At 43.9% G+C, this 25,011-nt stretch overlaps 1 protein-coding gene across 1 annotated transcript in view, besides 2 other annotated features; it reads right to left on the reverse strand.

Annotated features, from left to right (window-relative positions):
* TLL2 (tolloid like 2) overlaps positions 1-25,011 on the reverse strand; it is a 149,319-nt gene that overhangs the window by 70,190 nt on the left and 54,118 nt on the right. The window contains exon 3 of the mRNA NM_012465.4: positions 11,294-11,371. Within this exon, the coding sequence (NP_036597.1) occupies positions 11,294-11,371 (78 nt within the window). The remainder of the gene's footprint in view (positions 1-11,293; positions 11,372-25,011) is intronic.
* Positions 7,349-7,987: an enhancer, noted in NCBI's record as "H3K27ac-H3K4me1 hESC enhancer chr10:98201903-98202541 (GRCh37/hg19 assembly coordinates)". NCBI's record gives its function as "activates a minimal SCP1, AML or CMV promoter by ChIP-STARR-seq in primed H9 embryonic stem cells {active_cell/tissue: H9 hESC(primed)}" and the evidence as "EXISTENCE:reporter gene assay evidence [ECO:0000049][PMID:30033119]".
* Positions 15,937-16,438: an enhancer, noted in NCBI's record as "OCT4-NANOG-H3K27ac hESC enhancer chr10:98210491-98210992 (GRCh37/hg19 assembly coordinates)". NCBI's record gives its function as "activates a minimal SCP1, AML or CMV promoter by ChIP-STARR-seq in primed H9 embryonic stem cells {active_cell/tissue: H9 hESC(primed)}" and the evidence as "EXISTENCE:reporter gene assay evidence [ECO:0000049][PMID:30033119]".

The following is a 25,011-nucleotide window of genomic DNA, read 5'->3' on the forward strand; positions in this document are numbered from 1 at the left end:
TCACCAGAAATACACCAGGGTTCCAATGTCTCCACATCCTCGTCAACACTTGTGATTGTCAATCTTTTTTATTATAGTCATCCTAATGGTGTGAAGCGGAATCTCATTTTGGTTTTGATTTTCATTTCCCCAATGACTAATGATGTTGAACATCTCTTCCACGTACTTGGTGGTCATTTGTGTATCTTCTTCAGAGAAATATCTATTCAAATTATTTATTCATTTCCTTTTTTTTTTCTTTTTTTTTTTTTTGAGACGGAGTCTTGCTCTGTTGCCCAGGCTGGAGTACAGTGGCACGATCTCGGCTCACTGCAACCTCTGCCTCCCGGGTTCATGCCATTCTCCTGCCTCAGCCTCCTGAGTAGCTGGGACTACAGGTGCCCACCACCACACCCAGCTAATTTTTTGTATTTTTAGTAGAGATGGGGTTTCACCATGTTAGCCAGGATGGTCTCGATCTCCTGACCTCGTGATCTGCCCGCCTCGGCCTCCCAAAGTGCTGGGATTACAGGCATGAGGCTCTTTTATTGTTGTGTTATAATTAGTCTTTATATATTCTAAATACCAGGCTCTTGTCAGATATATAATTTCCAAATCTTTCTTCCATTCTGTAGGTTGTCTTTTCACTTTTATAATAGTGTCCTTTGAAGCACAAATGTTTTTAATGAAGTCCAATTTATCTATGATCTTCTTTTGTTGCTTGTGCTTTTGGTGTCATATCTAAGAAACCATAGCCTAATTCAAGATCACAAAGATTTATACGTATGTTTTATTCTGACAGTTTTATAGTTTTAGCTCTTATATCTAGGTCTTTGATCCATTTTTAGTTAATTTTTGTATATGGTGTGAGGTAGGGCTCCAACTTCACTCTTTAGTATGTAAACATCTAACTGTCCTAGGACCATTTGTAGAAAAGACTAGTTTTTCTCCATGGAATTGTCTTGGTGCTCTTGTCCAAAATCAACTGGCCATCCTTTCCTAGCTTCTCGAGTTGAATACTTGGTGCATTAATTTTACATCTTTCTTATAAATATTAACATTTTCAAGGCTAAATTTCTCTCTGACGTCTTGTTTTCCTGTGTCTCACATTTTGAAATGTACATTTTCAATGTTAGATATTGATACATTCTTTAAGTTCCATTTAGACTTTCTTCTTTGACCTCTGAATTATTTCAAAGTATGGGTTTTAATTTCTAAACATTTGTTTCTCTGTGTGTGTTATTGATTTCTAACACTGCACTGTGTTCTAATAACCTATTCTTCATGGTAGGGGTTAGCAATTTTTCCATAAAAGGCCATATAGTAAATATTTTAAGCTTTATGTGTCATATATTCTTTGTTACAACTACTCAACTCTGCCATTGTACTGTGAAAGCAGCCACAGATAATATGTCAATAAATGGACATGGCTGTGTGCCAATAAAACTTTATTTGCAAAAACAGCAGGTTGGATTTGGCCTACTGATATCATTGATGGCTAGCCCTTGCTCTAAAGTATCAATTCTTTGATATTTAGGCCTTCCTTGGTAAGCTAATACAAGACTGATTTTTATAAATGTTCCATGTTTTCTTATAATAATGTGTGATGTCTAATTGATGGGTTTCATATGTTGTTCAAATATTCCACTTACAAAAATTTTTGGCTTCTTAATGTATCAGTTACTAAGAAAAGTGCTTTAAGGAAAACCTCCAGAACTAAGACTATGAATTGTCATTTTCTCTATCCTTAATTTTTGCTCTAGATTGTTCAAGGCCATGTTGGTTAAGTAAGACAAGTTTAGAATTGTTAAACATTCCAGATAAATTTTTCTTTTATCATTAATAATCCTTTTTATAATAATAACATGCATTCATAATAATGATTGTTTTGTCTGATATAAATATTGCTATACCTTTTTTTTTTTCTGAGTCAGGGTCTGGCTCTGTCACCCAGGCTGGAGTGCAGTGGCATGATCTCAGCTCACTGCAACCTCTGCCTCCTGGGTTCAAGCCATCCTCCCCCCTCACCCTCCCAAGTAGCTGGGACCACAGGCATATGCCACCACCCCCGGCTAATTTTTATACTTTTTGTAGAGAGTTGGTTTCATCATGTTGCCCAGACTGGTCTCAAACTCCTGAGCTAAAGCGATCTGCCCACCTTGACCTCCCAGAAAGCTGGGATTACAGGCATGCACCACCGCACCTGGCCTGCTATACATTTTTTAATTTTGGTTAGTGTTTGCCTCATATAGCTTTTTTCTATCCATTTTCAATATTTTTCTATAATTATTTTTGTTAAAGTGAGTCATTGAATGGGTGTTATTCTCTGAGTTAATTGCATTTCCCACAACAAACAATACATCAAGCTTTGCAATTATCATAATATTGAGGTTCAATATTATATTTTCTGGTATATAAAGTAGCTTTTTATAAATTGAAATTTTTATTTAGATAATTGTAGATTCACATGAAGTTGTAATAAATAATACAGAGATTTCATGTACCTTCCTTTCAGATATTTCATTTCCTCTAATGGTAACATTTTGCAAAACTACAGTACAATAACACAACTAGGATATGGGCATTGATACAAGCCACTGATTTCACTCAGATATCTCCAGCATTACTTGTACTCATTTGTGTGTGTATGTGTGTAAGACAATTTTATCACACTTACAGTTTTGTGTATCTACCACCACATTCATGATACTGAACAGTTTCAACACCATAAGTATCCCCCATGTTGTTATTTTATAACAATATCTACCCCTCTTTCCCCTTTCCTCCATCCATTCCAAAATTCTGGCAACCACCAGTCTGTTTCCATTTCTAAAATTCTGTCATTTGATGAATATCATATAAATAGAATCATACAGCATATAATAGGGATAATAATTATGCTCTTCTCACTCAGCATAATTCCCTGGAGATTCATCTAAGTTGTTGCCTGTATGAATAGTTTATTTTTATTGCTGAGTAGTAGTCCATGGTATGGATGAACCACAGTTTGTTTACCCATTCACCTGTTGAAGGATATCTGGATTGTTTCCTGCTATTACAAATAAAGCCATTATGAACATTCATGTACGGATTTTTGTGTAAAGGTAAGTTTTCATTTCTCTGGGACACATATCAAAGAGGGAATTACTGGCTCATATAGTAATTGGGTCTATTTCTGGGTTCTCTATTCCATTGGTCTACATGTTTATCACTCTGCCAATGCCATACCATCTTGATTACTGTAGCTACAGAGTAAGCCTTATATGGGGTAGAGTGATTACACCCCTTCAGTCTTCTTTTTCATAATTGTTTTAGTTGTCTTTCCATATAAATTTTAGAATAAGCTTGTCTATGCCTGCAAAAAATGAAAATAAAAAACCATGTTGAGATAGAAATTGCATTAAACCTATAGAACAATCTGGAGAGAACTTGGCACCTCTACTCTATGCATCTTCCAAACCAGGGATGCAGCATATCTCTCCACTGATTTAGGTCTGTCTTGATTTTTTTCAGCAGCATTGTTTAATTTTCATCACACAAATCCTGTACGAATTTTGTTAACTGTATATCCAAGTATTTCATCTTCTTTGGAGTGATTGCGTATATGGCATTGTATTTTTAATTTTGGTTTCTGTATGTTCATTGTTAGAATATAGAAATGTGAGCCATTATAGAATTTTATATTTCCAATATAGAAATGTGCTGGCCTTGTATTTCTGAAATTTTGTTGAACTCATTGATTGGTTCTAGGAGGTTTTTGGGCTTTTCTTTTTCCTTAATAGATTTCTTAGGATCTTCTATGTAGACAAACATGTCATTTACAAACAGGGACAGTTTTATTTTTTCCTTTCCAACTTGTTTGCCTTTTCTTTGTTTTTCGTGCTTTACTGCAGTGTCTGGAACTTCCAGAACTATGCTGAATGACAGTACGAAAGCAGACATCCTTGCCTTGTTCTTGGTCTTGGGAAAAGGTGTTTGGTCTTTCGACCATTGAGTATAATGTAAGCTGTAGGTTTTTTTCTAGACACTCTGTATCAAGTTAAGATAATTCCTCTCTATTCCTAATTTGTTGAGTTTTTATCGTGAATAGGTGTTAGATTTTGTTAAATGTGTTTTCTTCATCAATTGCTGTGATAATAGGATTCTTCTTTACTAGCTTGTTGATTTAGCGGGTTCTATAGACTGATTTTCAAATGTTGAATCAGCCTTGCATACCTGGAATAAATCCCACTGGGTTATGCTGTATAATTCTTTTTTGTACATTGTTGGATTTCATTTGCTAATTTTTTTAAGGATTTCTGCATGTAAGTTTAATTCGGTTTTAGGGTTGTCTCTTTTTTTTGAGACGGAGTCTCACTCTGTTGCCCAGGCTGGAGTGCAGTGGTGCGATCTCGGCTCACTGCAAGCTCCACCTCCCAAGTTCAAGAGATTCTCCTGCCTCAGCCTCCCAAGTAGCTGGGGCTACAGACATGTGCACCCATGCCTAGCTGATTTTTGTGTTTTTAGTAGAGATAGGGTTTCACTATGTTGGCCAGGCTGGTTTTGAACTCCTGGCCTCAAGTGATCCACCCTATTTGGCCTCCCAAAGTGCTGGGATTACAGGTGTCTAAAACTTTTCAATAAACTTTCACTCCTGCTCTAAAACTTGCCTGGGTCTCTCTCTCTCTCTGCCTTATGCCCCTTGGCTGAATTCTTTCCTCCGAGGAGGCAAGAATCAAATTGCTGCAGACCTGTATGGATTTGCTGCTGCTAACATCACCAACATCTGAGGCTTCCTTCTGTGAGTTATGTTCCTTATTCGCTTCTGATCATGGCCATTCACCTTTCTTTCCTTTGAACTCAACTCTGTATTTTTCACTTGGGGTGGTGAAAAGGTAATATTTTTTTCAGTGTTCCTCTACTTGTATAACGGGTTCCTACTCATCTAGTTGGTCATATTTCCAGACCCAGAAAGTTGGTATGTAATACACTGTTAAACCTGAAAATAATTATCTTACCACCAGAATTTCTAGAACAGAAGTCATACACTTGCAGTGCTGGGATAAACCCAACCCGCAGATGTGTTTCTGTTTGGCCTGGACACTTTTGGCCCACACTATGTTTTTTTAAAAATCTCCCTGTACGAGCCAACTTTTAAAAATCAAGGGATTTCACATAAGAATCCAGATTTTCTAGTTTTTCTTTAAAAACTGAAAGATTTGGCAACAGCAGGCCCATCTTCCATCATAGTACAACCAGCTGGAGTTTAGAAGCACCTGCTCTCCATAGTCAGAGCACATGTTCTGTTTGCTAGAATCTCTCTCCCCCTTCACATTGTCCTATTCAGCTTACTTCACCTTTTAGATGACCTACCTGCCCTCTACGGAAGATATTCTAATTTGCTATTCCAGCCCTAAACTACAAATTGCATCAAGATGTCAAATGTGAATTTTTCTGGTAGACTGGAAGCTCCATGAGGGCAAGAAATGTTGCCAGCTTGTTCTCCACTTTATTCTCCACACCCTGCATGGTGCCTGACTGGTGGTGAGCATTCAATATTTTTATATTTTGAATGTATGAATTAAAGAAGGGATGAGCTATTCTAAAAATAAACAGCCCAACAGTCCAAACAACTCTGTGTTGGAAACCTCTCCAAAATGTTGGCAACACTGAAGCCCTTAATGTTTACATCCTGAGAATTATCCAGTCTTAAGTAATCACAGGCAGCAATGTAGCAAGTGGAAGTTTGTTACTCATTTCCCATATGGTTTTCAACAAGTCTCTTAATTTTCCTCTGTCGCCAACTCTCCTTTGGAGAATGGGCAAAAATACTTCTCTATTCAAAGAAATAACACTAAGATACTCCGTGTTTCTCTGACAAGCTGTGCTGCATATACATGTGACCTGGTATTATAAGGGTCTGTTTTATGCAGCCAAGTCAGCATGGGAAAATCTTAAGTGCACCTGGAAAGAAGCTAGGGTGTAATTTCCAGAAATGGGTTATTGAATGACAGCTTCCCCTTTGGTCCAGTGAGAAATTTAATTTGCTAAGGACTCAACACAGGAAGCATTTGCCGATTAAAAATATGTCTAAACAGATGTTCTGCTTAGCCTGGAAGAAGGATCTTAATGCAACTGTCATTATTGGATTTTCTTGGATTACTACTATCTGGAATCGGAGTCCAAATAGAAGGATGTAATTATTTATTATGGCCAAGAGTCCTGCATTTGAAGAGGAGCTCAGGGCGTCTGACAGGATTTAACACGCTGGGGGTAGGGTTGAGGGGGGATAAAGCCCATTTAAATTCTCTGGCTCTGGGAGCGAGCCCTGTCCTCTCTGAAAGAGCAAAGCGGTTGTTGCTTTTCAATCTTCTATTTCCAGCTGAAGGCACAGCCATGTCATAAACAGAACCAGGCCTGAGGCAGCCTTCTCCAGTGAGGAAGTGCAATTTTTAGATTAGGCAATTGGTCATTCCCACACGGGAAGTAAACACGCTGACAGCCCAGCCATCTGCATAACCCTCACCCCAAAGGTGATGGGTGAATTTGCACCTCACCTGCAGCAATCTCGAAAGGCTGAAGGCCGCTAAGTAAAGGGGAGACTAGACCATTCTGCACAGTGGTTCTCAAACCTGGCTGCACATTAGATTCAACTGGGGAGCTTTTAAAAAATTCTGGTGTCTGCCTCCCTGCTCTGAGACTGAGAATCAATTGGCCTTAGAGTGGAGTCAAGGCACCTGCAGTTTCTAAAGCTCCCCAGGTGATTACAAAGCTCAGTGAAGTTTGGGAACCACTGATACAGCCCAAAGGTTAAGATCAAGGGGTTTGGGGTCAGGGGGACTTAAGCTCAAGATAAATGCTGCCATTTGCTACCTACATGGCTTTGGACAAATCACTTCCCCTTCGGAGCCTCACTTCCTGCTGCAGGGCGGTGGTGACCCAGGTAATGAATGTCAAATGCCTGCGGTGAGTAAGGGCTCAGTGTGAGCTGCCACAATGGCTACGAAAGTCTGCATTTGAGACAGGCTAAAAAGGAAGGCCTGAAGTTCGTGGGGCTCAGTTGTTACACCCAAGTAAACTGACGTAAGTGATGTTAGGAATTCCAGCGTCGAGTGCTGTTTTGCACCCAAGTTTGTGGGATGCCTGTCCTCTGGTTCAACCAGATTCCATTATTATTTGCTTTCACACAAAGCCCCTAGGAAATGTTACTGAAAGTGAAAGGTCCATTCTCTTTCATGAATATGGTTCTGGAAATCAGGCTCTATCAAAACAGTCACAGCTTCATTCATGGAGCAGTTGCACACTCCATTTCATTAATCCCATTATCAGCCCTGAAATGCATGCTGAGCTCTCATCTCCAGAGGAGGGAGAGCCTTCTGACCAAAGGGTCTGCCGGAGGGGATGTTGAGTGAGCATTTCAGCCCTTTCCCCCTCCCCAAAGCTGGAGGCACAAATCCCCACCGTCAGGGCTGAGGGGAGCCACATAATGCCAGGAAATAAACCTGCTGCCGAAACTGGGCGCTTCCCTCAGATCCTTTCTCCTGCCTGGGCGGTCTCTTTTCCTGGGGGTGGTGGAAGGGGGGCAAGTTGTGATTAAAGGGAACCTGAGATTGACACAACGTGTCTTATCTTTCATTCAAATAAAAGCAAGAGGCATCCAGCGCTGGCGCCGACAGCATCCTGAGGGTTGGGATGGGAAGGATGGAGGGACTGGTTAGAACGGCCTGCCCTCACCTCACTTCGAGATTTCCTTCCTCTTCAGGACTGCCCTGGATGCTTAAAGACATGCTTGTCTGCTGCTGTAATGCAGAGTGAAGGGACTGGCCTAGCCTGCACATTCCTTATCCGCTTCGAACAAACCAGGGCCATTTGGGGGAACTGCAGACTAGGGCACTGCTATCATCACCCTCCCTGAAAAGCCCAAGATTTTTTGTTGCAGTGTGGGTGCTGTGCACAACCCCACCAGAGGCAGAATTTTAATGGGCCACAGCCGCCGTCTTCCTTCCTGTCCTCTGTAATTGTGTTTCTATGCAGCTGTTGCACAGCTGTGGAATCCCAGTCCAGAGGTAGATGATGCACTTTCAATGCTGGATAATATAATTCCTGGAGGTGGAGGTGGAAGAGCTACATTCCTTGAGCCTCTTTTAAGTTCCAGACACCTGGCTATGTGCTTTACATAAATATTATTTCTAATTCCCTCTAAACCTCATACAAGCAGTTAAATAACTTATCCAAAGTCATAGCTACTAAGTGGGTGAGCTGGGATTCAAACCCAAGTGTGTCTGACTGTCCAAGTTTATAGTTGGGTCATTTTACACCCAACGAACTAGTAAATATCAAAAACTCTGACAATATCTATTGCTGGGGAGCAGAGGCAAGGGGGGAAGGTGGTAGATAGTCTCCAAATATGGCCGCCAAGTCCCCTTATCCCTGTGAGGTCATGCCACTTCTCTCGTGAAGGAGTAGAATCTATTTCTCTCTCCTTGAATCTGGTCTGGTCGTTTGGCTTATTTTGTTAACAGAACGTAGCAGAAGTAGCATTCTTGAAGTTTTGAGTCCAGGCCTTAAATGGACTGGCAACTTCTGTTCCTTCCCTCTGGGAAGCCAATCACCATGCTATGAAAAGTTTCTGATTAGACAACTGAATGGTGACAGTCTGCATGGAGAGCAGGGCCACAAGGAGGCACACTGGGGCACTGGAGGTGTAGCTAAAGTTTTTTTGGACCTTCCAGCCCAGTCCACCTGCTAGATAAATTCAGTCAAGTGAGTGACCCCAGATGGCATCAGCCAAAGAACCACCCTACTGAACCCAGTCAACCCCCAGAATCATGAAAATAACAAACTATTGTTTGAAGTCACTAAGTTTGGGTGTGGTCTTTATGCAACAATAAATCACATAAATAAGGAAGAAAAATGAGTGTGGCATCTTTGTCACTGCAGTGTGATGACAAACTCTGCTGGATTCATTCACACATGCTCCATTTTTACCACTAAGTGCTGATCATTTGTGGCAAAGTGAAGGACCATTGAGTACCAGATGTCTGGGGAGCCCAAAAACTTATAAGTCAAAATATCCTTAAATAAGCAAAGCAGAAAAACGCGGATCTGAAAGCAAGCCCTGCACATAGCCCAAACAACAAGCTGTATAGCTAAGAAACAAATGCAGATTAGTTACATGGGTGACTAAAGGATCTGCCTCTCTCTAAAAGAAGTCAGATTGAAGAGGAAGATCAGCAACCCAATAGGAAAATGGGCACAGGACAGGAAGAGGCGATTCCCACTGACAAACATAGGAAAAAATGTTCAACGGCACCAGCAGTCAGAGGAGTACAAATTAAATATCAATAAGCCACAGCTTACTTGTTAAAAACACTGATAATGAGTTCTCCCTACTGCTAGTAAGAATATGGGAAAGGAGTACACTTATAAGTTGCTATGGAAATGTGAATTGTTACACCTTTTGAAACACAACCTAGCAACATCTATTACAAGCACACTAAATATGTACGGATATATGTTCAGTAACGTTTACTGCAGTCATTATTCATCACGGCAAAAGCTTGAAGTGAACTGAATGCTAATTGATAAGGAAAACACTGAATAAATTATGATCCATCCATATCAGTAATATCTACTCAAAAGAATACATTTAAGTTATAACTAGTGCCTTGGAGGGGTTGTGCCCATGAGGTATTGATGACGAAAGCATGATGCAGAAAAAATGTGTATCAAATATGATTCTATGTTTTAAAACAATGACAAAGCCTGTATCTGTATTTATGTTTAGATGTATGCTTATATACATATATCTCTGTATATATATCAATGTATGTGCATGGAGAAAAATATGAAGGCTGTATACAAAGTCACTAGCATGCATAACCTGGGAAAGCGTAGAGGGTTGATATGTGGAAAAAAGAACCTGAAAGGAGGTGGCCACATTAAAGAGAAAAGAAAAAGAAGATAACACTTTTAAAAGTATGATGATATTATCACATTTATGCATTTGTGTAAAATTACATATATGCAAGTATATATGTAAAAATGTAAAATAGCATGAAAGCTGAAACACAAAATAAATAATGATTTCTATTTCATTCCTACATAGGCGTCCGTGAGACATAAGATTCTGGCATTTAAAAATTATTCCTTGGCCAGGTGCGGTGGCTCACGCCTGTAATCCCAGCACTTTGGGAGGCCGAGGCGGGCAGATCACGAGGTCAGCAGACCGAGACCATCCTGGCTAACACGGTGAAACCCCGTCTCTACTAAAAATACAAAACATTAGCCGGGCACGGTGGCGGGCGCCTGTAGTCCCAGCTACTCGGGAGGCTGAGGCAGGAGAATGGCGTGAACCCAGGAGGCGGAGCTTGCAGTGAGCTGAGATCGCACCACTGCACTCCAGCCTGGGCGACAGAGCGAGACTCCACCTCAAAAAAAAAAATTTTTCTTTTGCTTTGCTGTGAAGTTTGTGTAGAAGAAATACCACTGCTGACTGTGAATCATGATTCCTGCAGGATGCAGGCCAGACGGGAAGTCCAGCAGCCCCTCTCCTCCAGCACTGCTTCTGAACAGGAGAAGCTTCTCCACAATAGATGTGTCCAGTGATCTCCGAGCTAGAAACTCTTAAACAACCAGCAGACCACACTTAGGTCTGAGCATCTGCATATAGACAGGCAGTGGCAGTGCTTCTGGGCAGGCTCCTGGCTACCTGCCCACAGCCAACCAGCACCTCACCTGCTTCCCACTTAGTAGACCATGGAGTCTCTAGTCTACACCTCCCCCACAATCCCCACTCCAGTTTTATTTTTCTTCTTTGCCTCCCTCACCCATTCATTCTCTCAGACACTCAGTTCTCAAAGCCACATTATTTGCCCCTCCCAGGTCTTCAGGGGCTTCAACTCACGATCCATGCACAAGGCAGAAAAGTCCAGCCAAGAGAGCAGAGTTTATCTGAGAGCTATGCTGTTCCTGACCACCAAATGCCGCCCTTCCATCCCTTTCGCCAGCAGCACGCCAGCCCCGCTCACGTCCACAGACTTCAGTGCTTCTAGTCCATCTCAGCCAGTGAGATAGGAAAAGATTCCATAAGAGCTATCCAAGGCCATGGACTAGGGAAGGGAGAATGGGAGTGACTGCTTCATGAGTACAGAGTCTGCTTTGAGGGTGATGAAAAAGTTCTGGAACTCAATAGGGGTAATGGTTACATAGCATTGTGAATGTACTTAATGCCACTAAAGGGTATGCTTTAAAATGGTAAGTCTTATGTCACGTGTATTTTTCCACAACTGAAAGAAAACAAGGTACCCAAAGACCTGGTGAGGGCTCACATTACCCTTTCCAGCTTCCTTGGTGCCAGTGTCCATGGCTGTGGTGTCTGGGCTGCTCTCAGATGCCTGCTCTTCAAGCCCACCTAGAGGAATGGAGAAGAAAGAGGCATGAGGACACATCAGCCTTCTCTGCATCAGCACCAAGGGATGAGGGAGCAAACCTGGTCACCTGGGGAGGATCAGAATCACCACGGATTCGTAAGCTTCGTTCCACAAATCAACTGAGCCCTTACCACATGGCCCCACACTATTCTAGATGTGAGGGCAAAAACGAACCTGCTTTGTTTAATAACCACACACATCAGTCGCAAATTAATATAAAGTATAACTCTCCTGGATCATTTCAAGAGCACCCAGAATCAAATTTACAAAGTTACCAGGCAACCCCAAAATCAGCTTCCTCACGCGCCCCCCACCTCCATAAGAAAGGCCAAATGCAAATAGGATCCTCTCTGGGCCTGGAGTCCGCTTGGTGCAGAACACAGGGAGATGTGCCCAGTGCTGCCGAATACTCAATGCGTCCTGTGACTGCTGCCTTTGTTACCCTGTGCACTCTCTTAGTATTCGGGTTTCCTCTGTGGGGTAAGCCTCCGTGTAGGAACCTACTGTGTTGACCTTATAAATTAGACTCCATAGACACTCTGTTTACGAAGGACAGTGATGCTTGTACGTGTTTGCTAGTAGCCATCATTTATAAACTGTGTTAACATTTGTCTCTACCAGGAATGTGGCCAATCACCAAATATCTGTTTGACCTACTATGGGCCAGGTGCAATTCCAGGCACCATGGATCCAGCAGTGAACGAGGCAGGTGAGTTCCTGCTCTCAAGAGGTGTCCATTCTAATTGGAAAGCTGGACCATAAACCGCAGGTAAGTAAATTCATGAATGAGATCATTGCAGGTTTGGAAAATGCTCTGAAGAAGATCAAAACCAATGTGTGATAGAACGTGATGGGAGGAGCTGCTTATCTGGTGGTTGGAGAGGGGCCTCAGGTAGGTGGGATGGCAGTGAGATCTGAAAGGCAGGAATGATCTGGCCATGTGGAGATCTGGCCAGAGGATCCTCCGCAGGGGAAGGATCCAGAAGGAGCCTAGACGGGGACTGGGCTTGTCATGAGAGGGACAGCCGCAGTGGGCAAGTGGGAACAGGGCCAGAGAGGGAGGCAGGCCCACACGGCCTTGCCAACCAGGCTGTGTTTTGTGACTTTATTCTCTTTGTTACAGGAACCCTGCAGAGGGTTTAAAGCATGAGAGGAATGTGTTTTTATCTGTGTTTTACCAAGATTGCCCTGGGACACAGGCAGACAAAAGCAGAAGCGGGGTGAACAGTTAGGAGCCTTGCAAGTGTCCGAGTGAGACAGGGTGGTGGTGTGGACCAGACACTGCAGTGGAGGTGCTGGGACCTGTCGTGTTAGGGAACAGTCATAGGCAGAGCTCGCAGGTAGGGCTAGTGGATTCGATCTGAGGAAAGACAGGGGCCACCAATGCCACCTGCCCTTGGAATTTGAATAACTGGGTGGGTAGTGACACCAGGGAGCAGATTTGAGGACAAAGACTATGTCCAGGAGAGACTATTACACACACGAAACCACATCAAAGCAACCAAAGGACAATCTATTTTTAAACAAAAATATTATTTCTTGCATTTATTTAGAAACTTACAGCTTACAAGTCAGTTTCCCAGTCTCCCCTTTAACCCTTATCAGAACACTTTATGTGTAATCCCATTTTCCAGAGGAGAGAACTGAGGCACAAAATGTTTAACCCAGGGTTGCCCAGCCCATCAGGGAAGCTAAGGGCTCGGGACACAGTCTCCTGGTCAGACACCCGGTGGTCTTCCCTGGCCCCACAGATAAAGGCTTCCCACGCTGCTCAACCAAGGCTCACATGGCACCACGAACCCAACCCCTAGGCCTGTATGACCCTGGAGACAGCCACGTGGTCCCGCTCCCAACTCCTCACATGCAGGCCATCACTTTCCCTCTCTGTGACCATGACCTGGGCAGTGGCTGCAGCTGCCAGGTCTCCTGTAGAGAAGGTCCCACTACAGCCAGGCGGAGATGGGAGGCTCCGCGCCTGCATCCTGCTCGTTCCGCTGCCTCCTGGCCAACCCGGAATCCACTCACACACTCCCTGCAGCTGCCGGGTGTTCGCTGCCAGCTCCTGGCCCTCTGGGTATTCATCCAGTTGCAGCAATATCATTTCCTCTCGGGCTAAAGGTCAGGGGAATTCCTGATGGTATGAAATCTCTCAGCAGCAGACAAATGTACCACCTGTGGTGTGGAGGCGAGCTGGAGCCGACGCTCTGGGTCTAGCTCAGCCTCACTCAGCTGTGCAACTGTGGTGGGGAACTCGGGTGTTAGTATTTTTTCATCTGTCAAATGGACTATTGCAAGGACCAAATGAGGTAATGGGTTTGTTTGGGCATTCGTTCATTCAACAAGTATCTATCCAACACCTGCTACAGGCCAGACGCTGTGTCTGCTGCTTGGGATATGATGCAGAAGAAACTGTACCTTGACTTCATGGAAATTATATTCTGATGAAGGGTAGGGGAAAAAATGACAAACAAATAGCGAACCAGATATTTAGGTCTGGAGGATGTAGGTGGATATCTGGAGAGAAGCATTTCAAACTATGGGAACAGCAAGTGCAAAGGCCCTGGGGTGGGAGTGTGCTTGGCCGGGGGGAGGTGGGTACGACTGGAATGGAATGAGTGAGGAAGAGACAAGGAGATGATGAGGTCAGCAGGCAGTGGAGGGTCTGGAGAATCTGCTCATATGGGGCCTTGCAGGCCATTCAGGATTTTGGCTTTTATTCTGAGTGAACTAGATGGGATCCAGAGGACAGGAAAGGGCTTTGTAACTGCACTGGTTTTGTATATGACAGGGATAATATGTAGTGAATAGGAGTGGGGAGACCAAGTGCCCCCCAGTGATGGAGGGGGGAAAGAATTAGTGTTTACTAAGTCCCAATTATAGTGCAAACCATGTGCTAAGAACAGTGCCAAGTGCTTTTCCTCACCTTCAGTTTTATATGTGCAGTCTCATGAAGACCCAATAACAAACGGACCATGAACAGATTAGGAAACAAAGCTCCAAGAGGTGAAATGACTTGCTTGTCTTGAGGAAGCAGAGAGAGTTAGTAAAGGTGATGGCTGGAGGTGGGTCCTGTCTGACCCCCAAGCCTGTACTCCTTCTCTTCAGCCTCAGTCACAGAAAGAACGAAGAGAACAAGGGAGGTGCCTGGTAGAGGCTGCTTATTCCCAGGGGATACAAGGCATTGCCCATCCAGGAGGTCTGTAAGAAGACATATGAAGTCATGGGTCTAGCTCAGCTTGAGATAAGGCTGGAGCCATGGCAGTTAAGAATATAGAGCCCTCCCCTGTCCTTATCAACAAGAGATGGAAGGTTCTGTCTTTTATCTCAGAAAGGAAGCAAATCTCATGCTTCCAGCACTGTCTACCGGGGACCTACCTGGAGTTAATGTGGCTTGGCCACATTTCATCTCCTGATGAAAACCCTTCCATGGCTCCCCCCTGCCCTTGGGATAGATTCCACCTCCTAACACCACTGATGAGACCCTTAGTGATATGGCCCTGCCAGCCTGCTCCACAAGGTACCTCAAGCCTCCTCTCCTACTCCCTCCACTGCCACTCTGTGCTCAGCTGCAATAAGTGACTTAGAGTGCCTTGGCTTTCTATTTTCCTCTTATTGCACACTTTCCTCAACCACACCCACCTCTTCATCTGGCCAAACCCTACTGGTCCTTCAAGTCTCCATGTAGACACCACTTCCTCTGAGTATCCGCCCCCCTGCTCCTCTTGGGGTAAAAGTCATTCTCTCTGTTCCCACAGCCCCTGGCCTTATTCACCACCCTCTCCACAAGGTACTGGGATCCATTTACTCAGCTGAATCCCCCATGATTTAGCTTTTCACATCTTGAAGGAAGGGATTTTGTTATGTCTAACAATGAATACCCAGCACCAGACCTGGCACATGGCAGGTACTGAGTAAAATACAGAACGGATGGATGAAGGGATGGATGGATGGGTAGGTGGGTGAATGAATGCATGGATGGATGGATGGATGGATGGATGGATGGATGGATGGATGGACATACGAGTCACGTAGGCAGTGTTTAAAAAGAGAAATCAATCATTTCTAACTCAACTGTTGGAAAAAAATTGTCCTTATCAGCTTTTATGGAGAGAAGGAGGCAACTATTCTTCAAACAATGGCTCTCAACTTTGGCTGCGATTTGAATCACCTGGGAAGCCTTTAAAAAAATACTGGCGTCTGGGTCCCACCCCCGCCGGAGGTTCTTATTTAATTGGTCTGGGGCATGGCCTGGGAATGGGGAGTTTAAAGAGTTCCCCAGGTGATTCTATGGTACAGCCAAGGTTTAGATTTGCCACTCAGAGCACCCTGTAAGAGGAAGCCTCACCTTGTACTATTTTCTTACTCCCAACCTCTCTCCTCCTGAGCTCACCAGGAACGGAAGACATGGACTTGGAGACAGACACTTTGAACACTAGCAAAAGCCATGTCTCACATCGAAATCGATGAAAAGCGTTTCTCCGTTTCAATAAAAACTGGCAAATGAGTACGACAGGTGTGGCTCTGGCTATAACTGCAGCTGCAGGCACCATAGAACAAGGAAGAGAGAAACAGCCTGATGCAGACAAAGACTGAGGGCTGGGAGGGGAGAGTTTTCAGGGTATGGGGATGTATTTTTCCTTGGGTGTGATTGCAAGACAAAAAAAAAGTTTGAAAAAAATACATATATATCCCCATATTTGATCTTTGCTTAATTACCTCTTCGGTGAGAGGATATGCAAAGACCTTGTAGATTTCATTAGTCACAGAGGTTTATTCAGACGTCTCCTTTGCATAAGAAACCCAGGCTTACAGCTGGTCTCTGGGAAAGAATGCCCTCCAGGCCTTGAAAAGAGAGCTCCCGGCCTGTTCAAGCTCTCACTGAAACACAGCAGAGGTCAGCGGCCCGTGATGCATGGGCCCGGCTGAAATGTTTCTATCCAGCATTTGCAATTCAATCCCACAGTTTCCTTTATGGAACAATTCACTAAATTCAGAGCTGTTCTTTTTTCTAATTCACCATATAATTCACCTCCCAAGTTCAATTAAGAAGCAATCTGTTAGCAACTTTGGGAGCAAGCTGCTTTTCTTTGGGAAAGCCCAATTTTCTTCCGCTCTCAACAAAAAGTGCCTTAATTAGATGCATCATATGAGACATTGATGTACACACAACGCCCCTCCACCATAATTAATGAAATATTAACTGTATACACCCAAAGACATCTAGGCAGAAAGAGATGGGCTTTTCCAAAGCCCTAGGGGTAAAGCCTTGTGCCATAGATTAATATTGCCCATCTGAACAACAGTGACTATGAATTCATATTCATTAATATCATTCATAAACAAAACTCTATATTAATTATTCCTTTCATCTCTTATTCTTAAAGACTAACATTACTTGGTCCTTGGTTCTCTTGAACATGAGAATACCTACCATTTTTTAACTGCCAGCATTTAACTTTAAATGCCAATTGTTTGCAGGTACTTCACATATGTTCTCTATTTAATCCCCAAGCCAATTTTCTAAGGTGGGTATTATTCCCATTTTATATGCAGGGTAACTGAGGCTTAGAGCAGTTAAGACATCACTAGGGACACACCGCCATTGGGTGGAGAATTTGAGATTCTCTCCATATCGGTCTGATATCAAAGCCCTTCATAGACATTACATACTAAAGAAACCTTGCAGGACGGCAGCCTTAGCTCTCATGTTTACTCATTTTTTAATACTGTATTTACAGCTTTGACCCACGAGAGCTAAATCTATCATAAAACTGCAGTGCTTTACTTTAAGAAAAAGAAAAAAATATATATCCAGCACAAGATCCTAAAAATCACCTTATTCCTACTCCATTCATTCAGTACGCCTTGGTGGAGCACCTGCTTTGGGCAGCACTGTGCTGGATTCCTGCAGGCAGTGCCTGCCCTCTTGGTGCCTGCATTCTGATGGAGGGGATGGAAATTAACAATAAATAATGAGATCATTTCGTGGGATTAAGCACTTTGAGGAAATTAAAACAGAGTTGTATGTCAGAGCAGTGGGGGATGGGAGTCCTAGGAGGGTCTCTCAGAGTCGGTGACATTTGAGCTAAGTGATGAGAGATGGATATCCATCTGGGGACAGTATTCTAGCAAAAAACAAACAAACAAAAACTGCAAGGAAAAAAGTCCTGAGGAGGGGAAGTAAGAGTCCAACGTGGCTGGAGCTGGGGCTGGCGAGCAAGATAGGAACTGTCACCTGCGAGGGACACAGGTCCAGCTCACGGCCAGCTAGAGCAAGGCCCTTGACTCTTACCTTTCTGACCATGTCTTAGGCCTTCTTAATTTGCTGGGCCTTTAGGTCACATGTAATCTGCACAGCAATCCCGTAAATAAGTACTGTTATTCCTCTTTTAAGGAGGAGAAAACTGAGGCTCATGAATAAGTTGTTCAAGGTCACCCAGCTAGTCAATGATTGAATGTGCATTTCAAAGAGGGCCCGTCTGACTCCAGAATCCATGCTCACAAAGCCTGCCCTCTACCCTAGACGGGTACAGGTGTGGCCTGAGCAAGCATCCCGGGGAAGGGCAATGAATGAATGAATGAAACATCTGCACAACTTTGTTGGAAAATTACCTGCAAGACACATCAATCAGGTGAAGTATTCATTATTCATTAGAAAAAAATTAAAAGGCAAAGCCCTTTTAAAAGGTTGATTCAGGAATGAACAAGGCAATCGCTACAGCACTAAAGCAATCAATGTGTAATCTTAAGTGATTCAATGCCAAGTAACTTTTATATCCGTGCCAAATTTCATATGCTACAGAAGAGAACGGGAAAATGAGTTAAAAGACCATTGCCAGATTTTGTTTGTGAAATGATTTAATATTGGCAAGTGTATAATAAAATGGGAATGCTTATACACTCCTGGTGAAGGAGGACTATAAATTGGTAACACTTCATGAGGTAATTTCACAGGACTAATCAAAATCTTTTAAAACAGGCAATAAGGCTGGGTGCAGTGGCCCACACCTGTAATCCCAGCACTTCGGGAGGCAGAGGCGGGCGGATCACGTGAGGTCAGGAGTTCAAGACCAACCTGCTCAACATGGCGAAACCCCGTCTCTACTAAGAATACAAAAATTAGCCAGGCGTGGTGGCGCGCACCTGTAATTACAGCTACTTAGGAGGCTGAGGCAGGAGAAACATTTGAGCCCAGGAGGTGGAGGTGGCAGTGAGCTGAGATCACACCACTGCACTCCAGCCTGGATGATGAAATGAGACTCTGTCTCAAAAAAATAAAATAAAAATAAATAAAACAGGCAATAATATGACTTCTAGATACCTGTATTAAGGAATTAATTGGCAATGAAGTCAAAGGATGTTCATCTCAACATTTTGTATAATAAAAAAGGCTATAGCAACTACATCCCCAACAGGGGTGGTGAAATAAATTATGACATAATAGAACACTACGTAACCTTTTAAACTGTTTTAGAAGGAAGTTTACTAGGTGAGAAAGTGCTCGGATTATAAGTCAAAAAACAGGTTAGGAAATATAATTCAATATAAATTCAGTATAAATTCAATAGAATCCAGTATGATTCCATCTTTTCTTTAAAAAAATAGGCAAAAAACATGCCGAAAAAATGCTGGATGGAAATCACCACACTGTCCATTGTGATTATCTCTGGTGGTGACTCTGGGGTGAATTTTATTTTCTTATATACTTTTGTAATTTCCAAATTTTGTTCAACATATTACTTTATAATCAGGAAACAGAGGCTTATTTTTTAAAAGAACTAGATTACATCATACACTATGCCTGCATTTTGTAGTGTGCGCCTGCACACACACACACACACACACACACATATACACACAGTTGTCAGGGAAACCTTTTTCTGATGAGAAAGAAACATAGTTGTGTTTATGCAGATGGAAAAGTTGTAATCCAATCTTTTTTTTTCTGCTTTTCTGCTCTGATCACAGAAAGAAAAAATTCCGAGTCCTCACCTTGGCAAGATGGAGGAAAGAAAAGCTTTTGAGGGGGAATGAGATGGGACCTGCCAGTGCTTTCTCTCAGACAGTGCTGGGAGGGCTCTTCTGAGATCCCATCTCCCATTCTCTAGTCAAGATCACTGGCTCCTGCCTGGGTCCTGGCACTGGCTGATGAAGTCTCAGAATTTGCTCCTGCCCCCAGGCAGAGGCCCTCATGCAAATTTGAGCTGTTTCCAGTGCCTTCAGCCAGAAGTCCATTTTGCTTGGTGTTGGACCCTCCTCTCCTCCTGCATGCCTGCGTCTGCATTCTCCCTGTTCTCTGGTTGTTGGATGAGTGACTGCCAGACCTTCCCCTTAGGCATGCTCTTAGAGTACCTCTGTTGTTCACCTGGCATCAAACCTCCAGTTCTCCCCTGGCCCCTGGACTCCAGGTATCCTTGTCTACCTGGTCCATATCTATTAAATCTCTTATGGCCTTGGCTTCTTGGCTGTACCCATTATTTATTGTTGTATATCAAACCATCCCTCCTCATAGGGTTGTTATGAAGATTGAGAGAGCGAATACATGCAAGGCAGAAAACAATGCCTGGCCTGTAATCAGCACTCATTGAGTTAGTGATCATAGCTATTATTATTATCCTTATTGACTCTAACTGTTCTGAAGTCTGAAGGAGCAGAATAGATTGAAACAATAAGCCATATTTTATACCTGAAGCACCACAAGCTGAGGAAGAAGTTCAAGTTCTCCTCAAAGCAGATTTAACAAAACCAAGTTCAGTCTGAGAACCCATGGACAGTCATTGACAGTGAAAGGAAGGCATCCCACTGTTCCCCAGGCATGGTATTTCTTTAAACCTTTCCCCATATGGTGCTTGCCCATAACAATGTGAGATATCAAATAGCAGTAAAAAAATTAACTAAAGATAAATTAGCCAGGCATGGTGGCGGGTGCCTATAGTCCCAGCTACTTGGGAGGCTGGCGTGAACCTGGGAGGCAGAGCTTGCAGTGAGCCATGATCGCACCACTGCATTCCAGCCTGGGTGACAGAGTGAGACTCCGCCTCAAAAAAAATAAAATTAAATAAATAAATAATTTATTAAAGATATAATCTAAGAAAGGACTCAAGTGACTAGGTTATATGGAGTCATCCTGTTATCCCTGGGACAGTGGAGCTGATTGGCCAAGATACACTGGGTAATTGTCAGAGGCGTTTGAATCAGAGCAACTCCATCTCAAATAGGGGATGGGTAAAATAAGGCTGAGGCCTACTGGGCTGCATTCCCAGAAGGTTAAGGTGTTCTTAGTCACAGGATGAGATAGGAGGTCAGCACAAGATACAGGTCATAAAGACCTTGCTGATAAAACAGGTTGTGGGAAAGAAGCCGGCCCAAACCTACCAAAACCAAGATGGCCACAAGAGTGACCTCTGGTCGTCCTCACTGCTACACTCCCACCAGCACCGTGATAATTTACAAATGCCATGGCAACATCATGAAGTTACCCTATATGATCTAAAACGGGGAGGCATGAATAATCCACCCCTTGTTTAGCATATTATCAAGAAATAATCATAAGAATGGGCAACCAGCAGCCCTTTTGGGCTTCTCTGCCTATGGAGTAGCCATTCTTTCATTCCTTTACTTTCCTAATAAACTTGGTTTCACTTTATGGATTCACCTCAAATTCTTTCTTGTGCAAGATCCAAGAACCCTCTCTTGGGGTCTGGATCGGCACCCCTTTCCAGTAACATAATGGCTTCCAAATTGCAGGCTAGAGCTTCACTGAGGAAACTGACCGTGTTTATTGGTTATTTTGTATGTGCCAAGGACTGTGCTTGCTACCTTATGAGCATTTCCTCATTTAGTTCTTAGCACAGTCCTGTGAGGTAGAGTCTATCACTAGCTTTAGTTACAAATGAGAGAAGTGAGGATTAGGTAGTAAGAAGGTAGTAAGAGGCAAAACCCAGATTCAATCCCAGACCCATCTGACTCTACCGATAGCCTTTATAATACAAGGCTAGGTATTCCAGCCTCAATCCTCGATAGCAAATATCCCAGTAGGAAAGGTCAGGAAAATCCTAGCTCCTTGCTCCCTGGGCAAGACAAAAGGTCACCTTCACAAGGAGATCTTTCAGAGTGCATATCTCAGGGACGATTCTGAAGGCTCACAGACACATGTGTGTATTCTGAGGTGTGAAGTTCCCAGGAGACAGGGGCAGGGCCTCTGAGGAAGAGGAGAAGAGAGGAGCTGGCAAGGAGAAGAAGACAGATGACACATGAGGCCTGAGTCCACAGAGAAGCTGTCCCTGGTAACCCGCTCTCTGCCTCCCCAGGGTAACTCCATTCCACCAGGGAGCTGCCCTAAGGGCACTGACAGTCAGACCTCTCAGCCGCCAAACCAGGAATCAGACCAGAAGTCCTTGAAGACTGAGCAGGTCCTTCCTCAGGAATAGAAAATTGTCCCCTCCAGACATAAAGGAGGGCCCCTTCAATTCGGGCTGAGCTCAGAACCACTGGATGCCCTCGGAGCCATCCAAGGTGCAGACCTCTGGCCAGGGCTTACCACCTGCCTCAAATCAAATCAGATCCACAATGTGCCAGGGTATGTGGGAGACACAGCTGTGACCCAGGCACTGCCCACCTGCAGGAGACACAAGGCACAAAGAACAGTGCAAGCAACCTGGTGAAGGAACTCGTACTCCCAGCCTGGTCCCCAGGGGAGCTTGCTGGAGGCAGCATTAAGGACAAGAAGGTTTTCAACAAACGGGGATGGGAGGGAGTCAGTTAGGATAGAACATAGGAGGGAAACAACACGTCCAATTTGGTAGCACAGCTTTTCTGACCCCAGTGGTTTTGGAAAGATACCTAATTTCTCTGAGCCTCAATTTTCTCATCCATACAAATGGGAATAATAGGTGCTAACTTTTCAGGTTGTGAGCAGCACCTAATGCTATGTCTGGCACATTGTAGGGACCCAGACATAGCCTTACTGATGATTATTTTTGGGTCCCCTTGGAAGGCCTCAACCTCCTGTATCTTGGTGACCACACTGCAGCCTAGGCTGTGGCCAGGACCACAGCTGAACCAGCCTCCCTGCCTCCTCAGGGAAAGCTCTTCCCAGGCCCCAGCCTGCTGCACCCCAGCCTCCCTCTATATAGGACTGCCCGGAACTCACCTGGCTGAATGACAGCTTGTCTCTGTCCTACCCCATGGTCCAGACTTCAGCAGGGTGTTCAGAGCACATTCTGGTTTCATTTAGTCGGAGGAAAGGGAGAGAGGGAAGGGAAGGCAGATAGGAAGGAAGTAGCTGCTCCTTCCTTCACAGAAACAACTGTCAGCCGAACAGCCACTGGGGCCTGGCTCTTTTTGGTTCAGTGAAATTGTAGAGGGAAACTCCTTTTCCTCAAGGGCTCTCAGGGGATTCTTAAGGGGCCTCTCGTTCATGCAGACTTCCAGAAGTTTCTAAGCGGGGTGCTTTCTGAAGCAGGAAGGAGTCGGGTATAGTGGCTATGGAGCCACAGAAATGCTTGGGGGGTAGGATGGGGAGATCAGACCACAGCCTCCATGGCTGAGGGTGAAGAGGAAGGGACAGCAGGGATCTGGGTGCACAGCGGGACACCAGTTAAATTCTTCCCAGAGATGCTGAAGGCCAAAAATTGGACTGGAGGCTAAAAGCCTAAGAGGAAGATTCTAGAATAAACTTCTCAGCCTCCATTTGTTTCCTTCATGCCCACTAAACATCATCGGCAATGATCTCATTTATTCGCTTATGTTTTTATTGTCTGTCTCCCCAACACCTTCTAAAATGCAAGCTCCATCTCCTTTGCTGATGTCTCCCCAGCTCTGGGACGGTGCCTGGCCTATAAGAGGTGGTGGCTGCAGGAGGTGGGGTGGGAGGATTGGTGGGGAGGGGAATAGGGAAAAGGGAGGCTGTAGGATGTAAGGCCAGCAGGACATGGATGCTGCTCGCCAGGCAGGAAACCATGATGTTCTGAGGTGTGGAGACGGGGAGGAGAGCTGCTTAGGTGATGAGACAACCACTACCCTGCTGGATGGGAGGAGATGAAGGGAAAGCCTTCCTCTACTCTCAGAGACCTGACAAAGGCACCCACTTGGCCATTCTTCACATTAAAATTTGTCCGCCAGGTACAGTGGCTCACGCCTATAATCCCAGCACTTTGGGAAGCCGAGGCAGGCAGATCACCTGAGGTCACGAGTTCGAGACCAGCCTACCCAACATGGAGAAACGCTGTCTCTGCTAAAAATACAAAAATTCGCCAGGCTTGGTGGTGGGCGCCTGTAATCCCAGCTACTCGGGAGGCTGAGGCAGGAGAATCGCTTGAACCTGGGAGGAGGAGGTTGCAGTGAGCCGAGATTGCGCCATTGCACTCCAGCCTGGGGGACAAGAGCGAGACTTCGTCTCAAAAAAAAAAAAAAAAAAAAAAAAAAAAAAAAAATCAGCCAGTCGTGGTGGCTCACACCTGTAGTCCCAGCTACTAGGGAGTCTGAGGTGGGAGAATTGCTTGAACCCAGGAGGCAGAGGTTGCAGTAAGCCGAAATCGTGCCACTGCACTCCAGCCTGGGCAACAGAGCAAGACTCTGTCAAAAAAGAAAGAAAAAAGAAATCTGTCAATAGAAAGGAAAATTTGGCCAGGAGCAGTGGCTCACACCTATAATTCCAGCACTTTGGGAGGTCAAGGTGGGAGGATTACTTGAGGCCAAGAGTTCAACACCAGCCTGGGCAACATTACAAGACCCTTGTCTCTACAAAAAAATTTAAAAACAAAGAAAAAACAAGGAAAAAAGAGAGCCCAATCAGAGTGATCAACATGAGACTTGGAATAACTTTAATAGGAAATGTGTATAACTGCAAGAGGAGAATTATGCATTTTTATCGCAATTTATGAAAATAATAAATAAGTAACAGAGAGAGATTCCATGTTCCTCAATGGAAGGGGTAAATGCTATGAATGTGTCATTTTCCCCAAACGAAGTTATGGGTTTAATGCAATCATGACCTAAATTCTAAGAGGATTTTGCTGGAATCCTCTCATGTTTTTGTAGAAAATGTTCCTCAAATTCATCAAGAAGAATAAATGAGTGAAACTCTTCAAGAAGTTTCAAAAAATCAAGAGCAAGGGCAATGAAGAAGGATGTACCCACCAAATATTAAAACATATAAGGCCGGATGCAGTTGCTCACACCTGTAATCCCAGAACTTAGGGAGGTTGAGGCAGGCAGATCACGCTCACACCTGTAATCCCAGAACTTTGGGAGGTTGAGGCAGGCAGATCACTTGAGATCAGGAGTTTGAGACCAGTCTGGCCAACATGGTGAAACCCCGTCTCCACTGAAAATACAAAAATCAGCCGGCACCCCTGTAATCCCAGCTACTCGGGAGGCTGAGGCAAAGAAGAATCACGTGAATCTGTGAGGCGGAGGTTGCAGTCAACCAAAATTGTGCCACTGCACTCCAGCCTGAGTGACAGAGCAAGATCCTGTTTCAAAAAAAAAAAAAAAAAAAAAAAAAAAAAAAAAAAAATATATATATATATATATATATATATAGCAGCTAAAATGAAAAGACACATGGATTGCTGGATATAAATGCTAACTCTATATATAAAAACACACTCTCTGATAG

This window comes from Homo sapiens, chromosome 10 (genome assembly GCF_000001405.40).
Source record: "Homo sapiens chromosome 10, GRCh38.p14 Primary Assembly".
NCBI classification, from domain to species: Eukaryota; Metazoa; Chordata; class Mammalia; order Primates; family Hominidae; genus Homo; species Homo sapiens.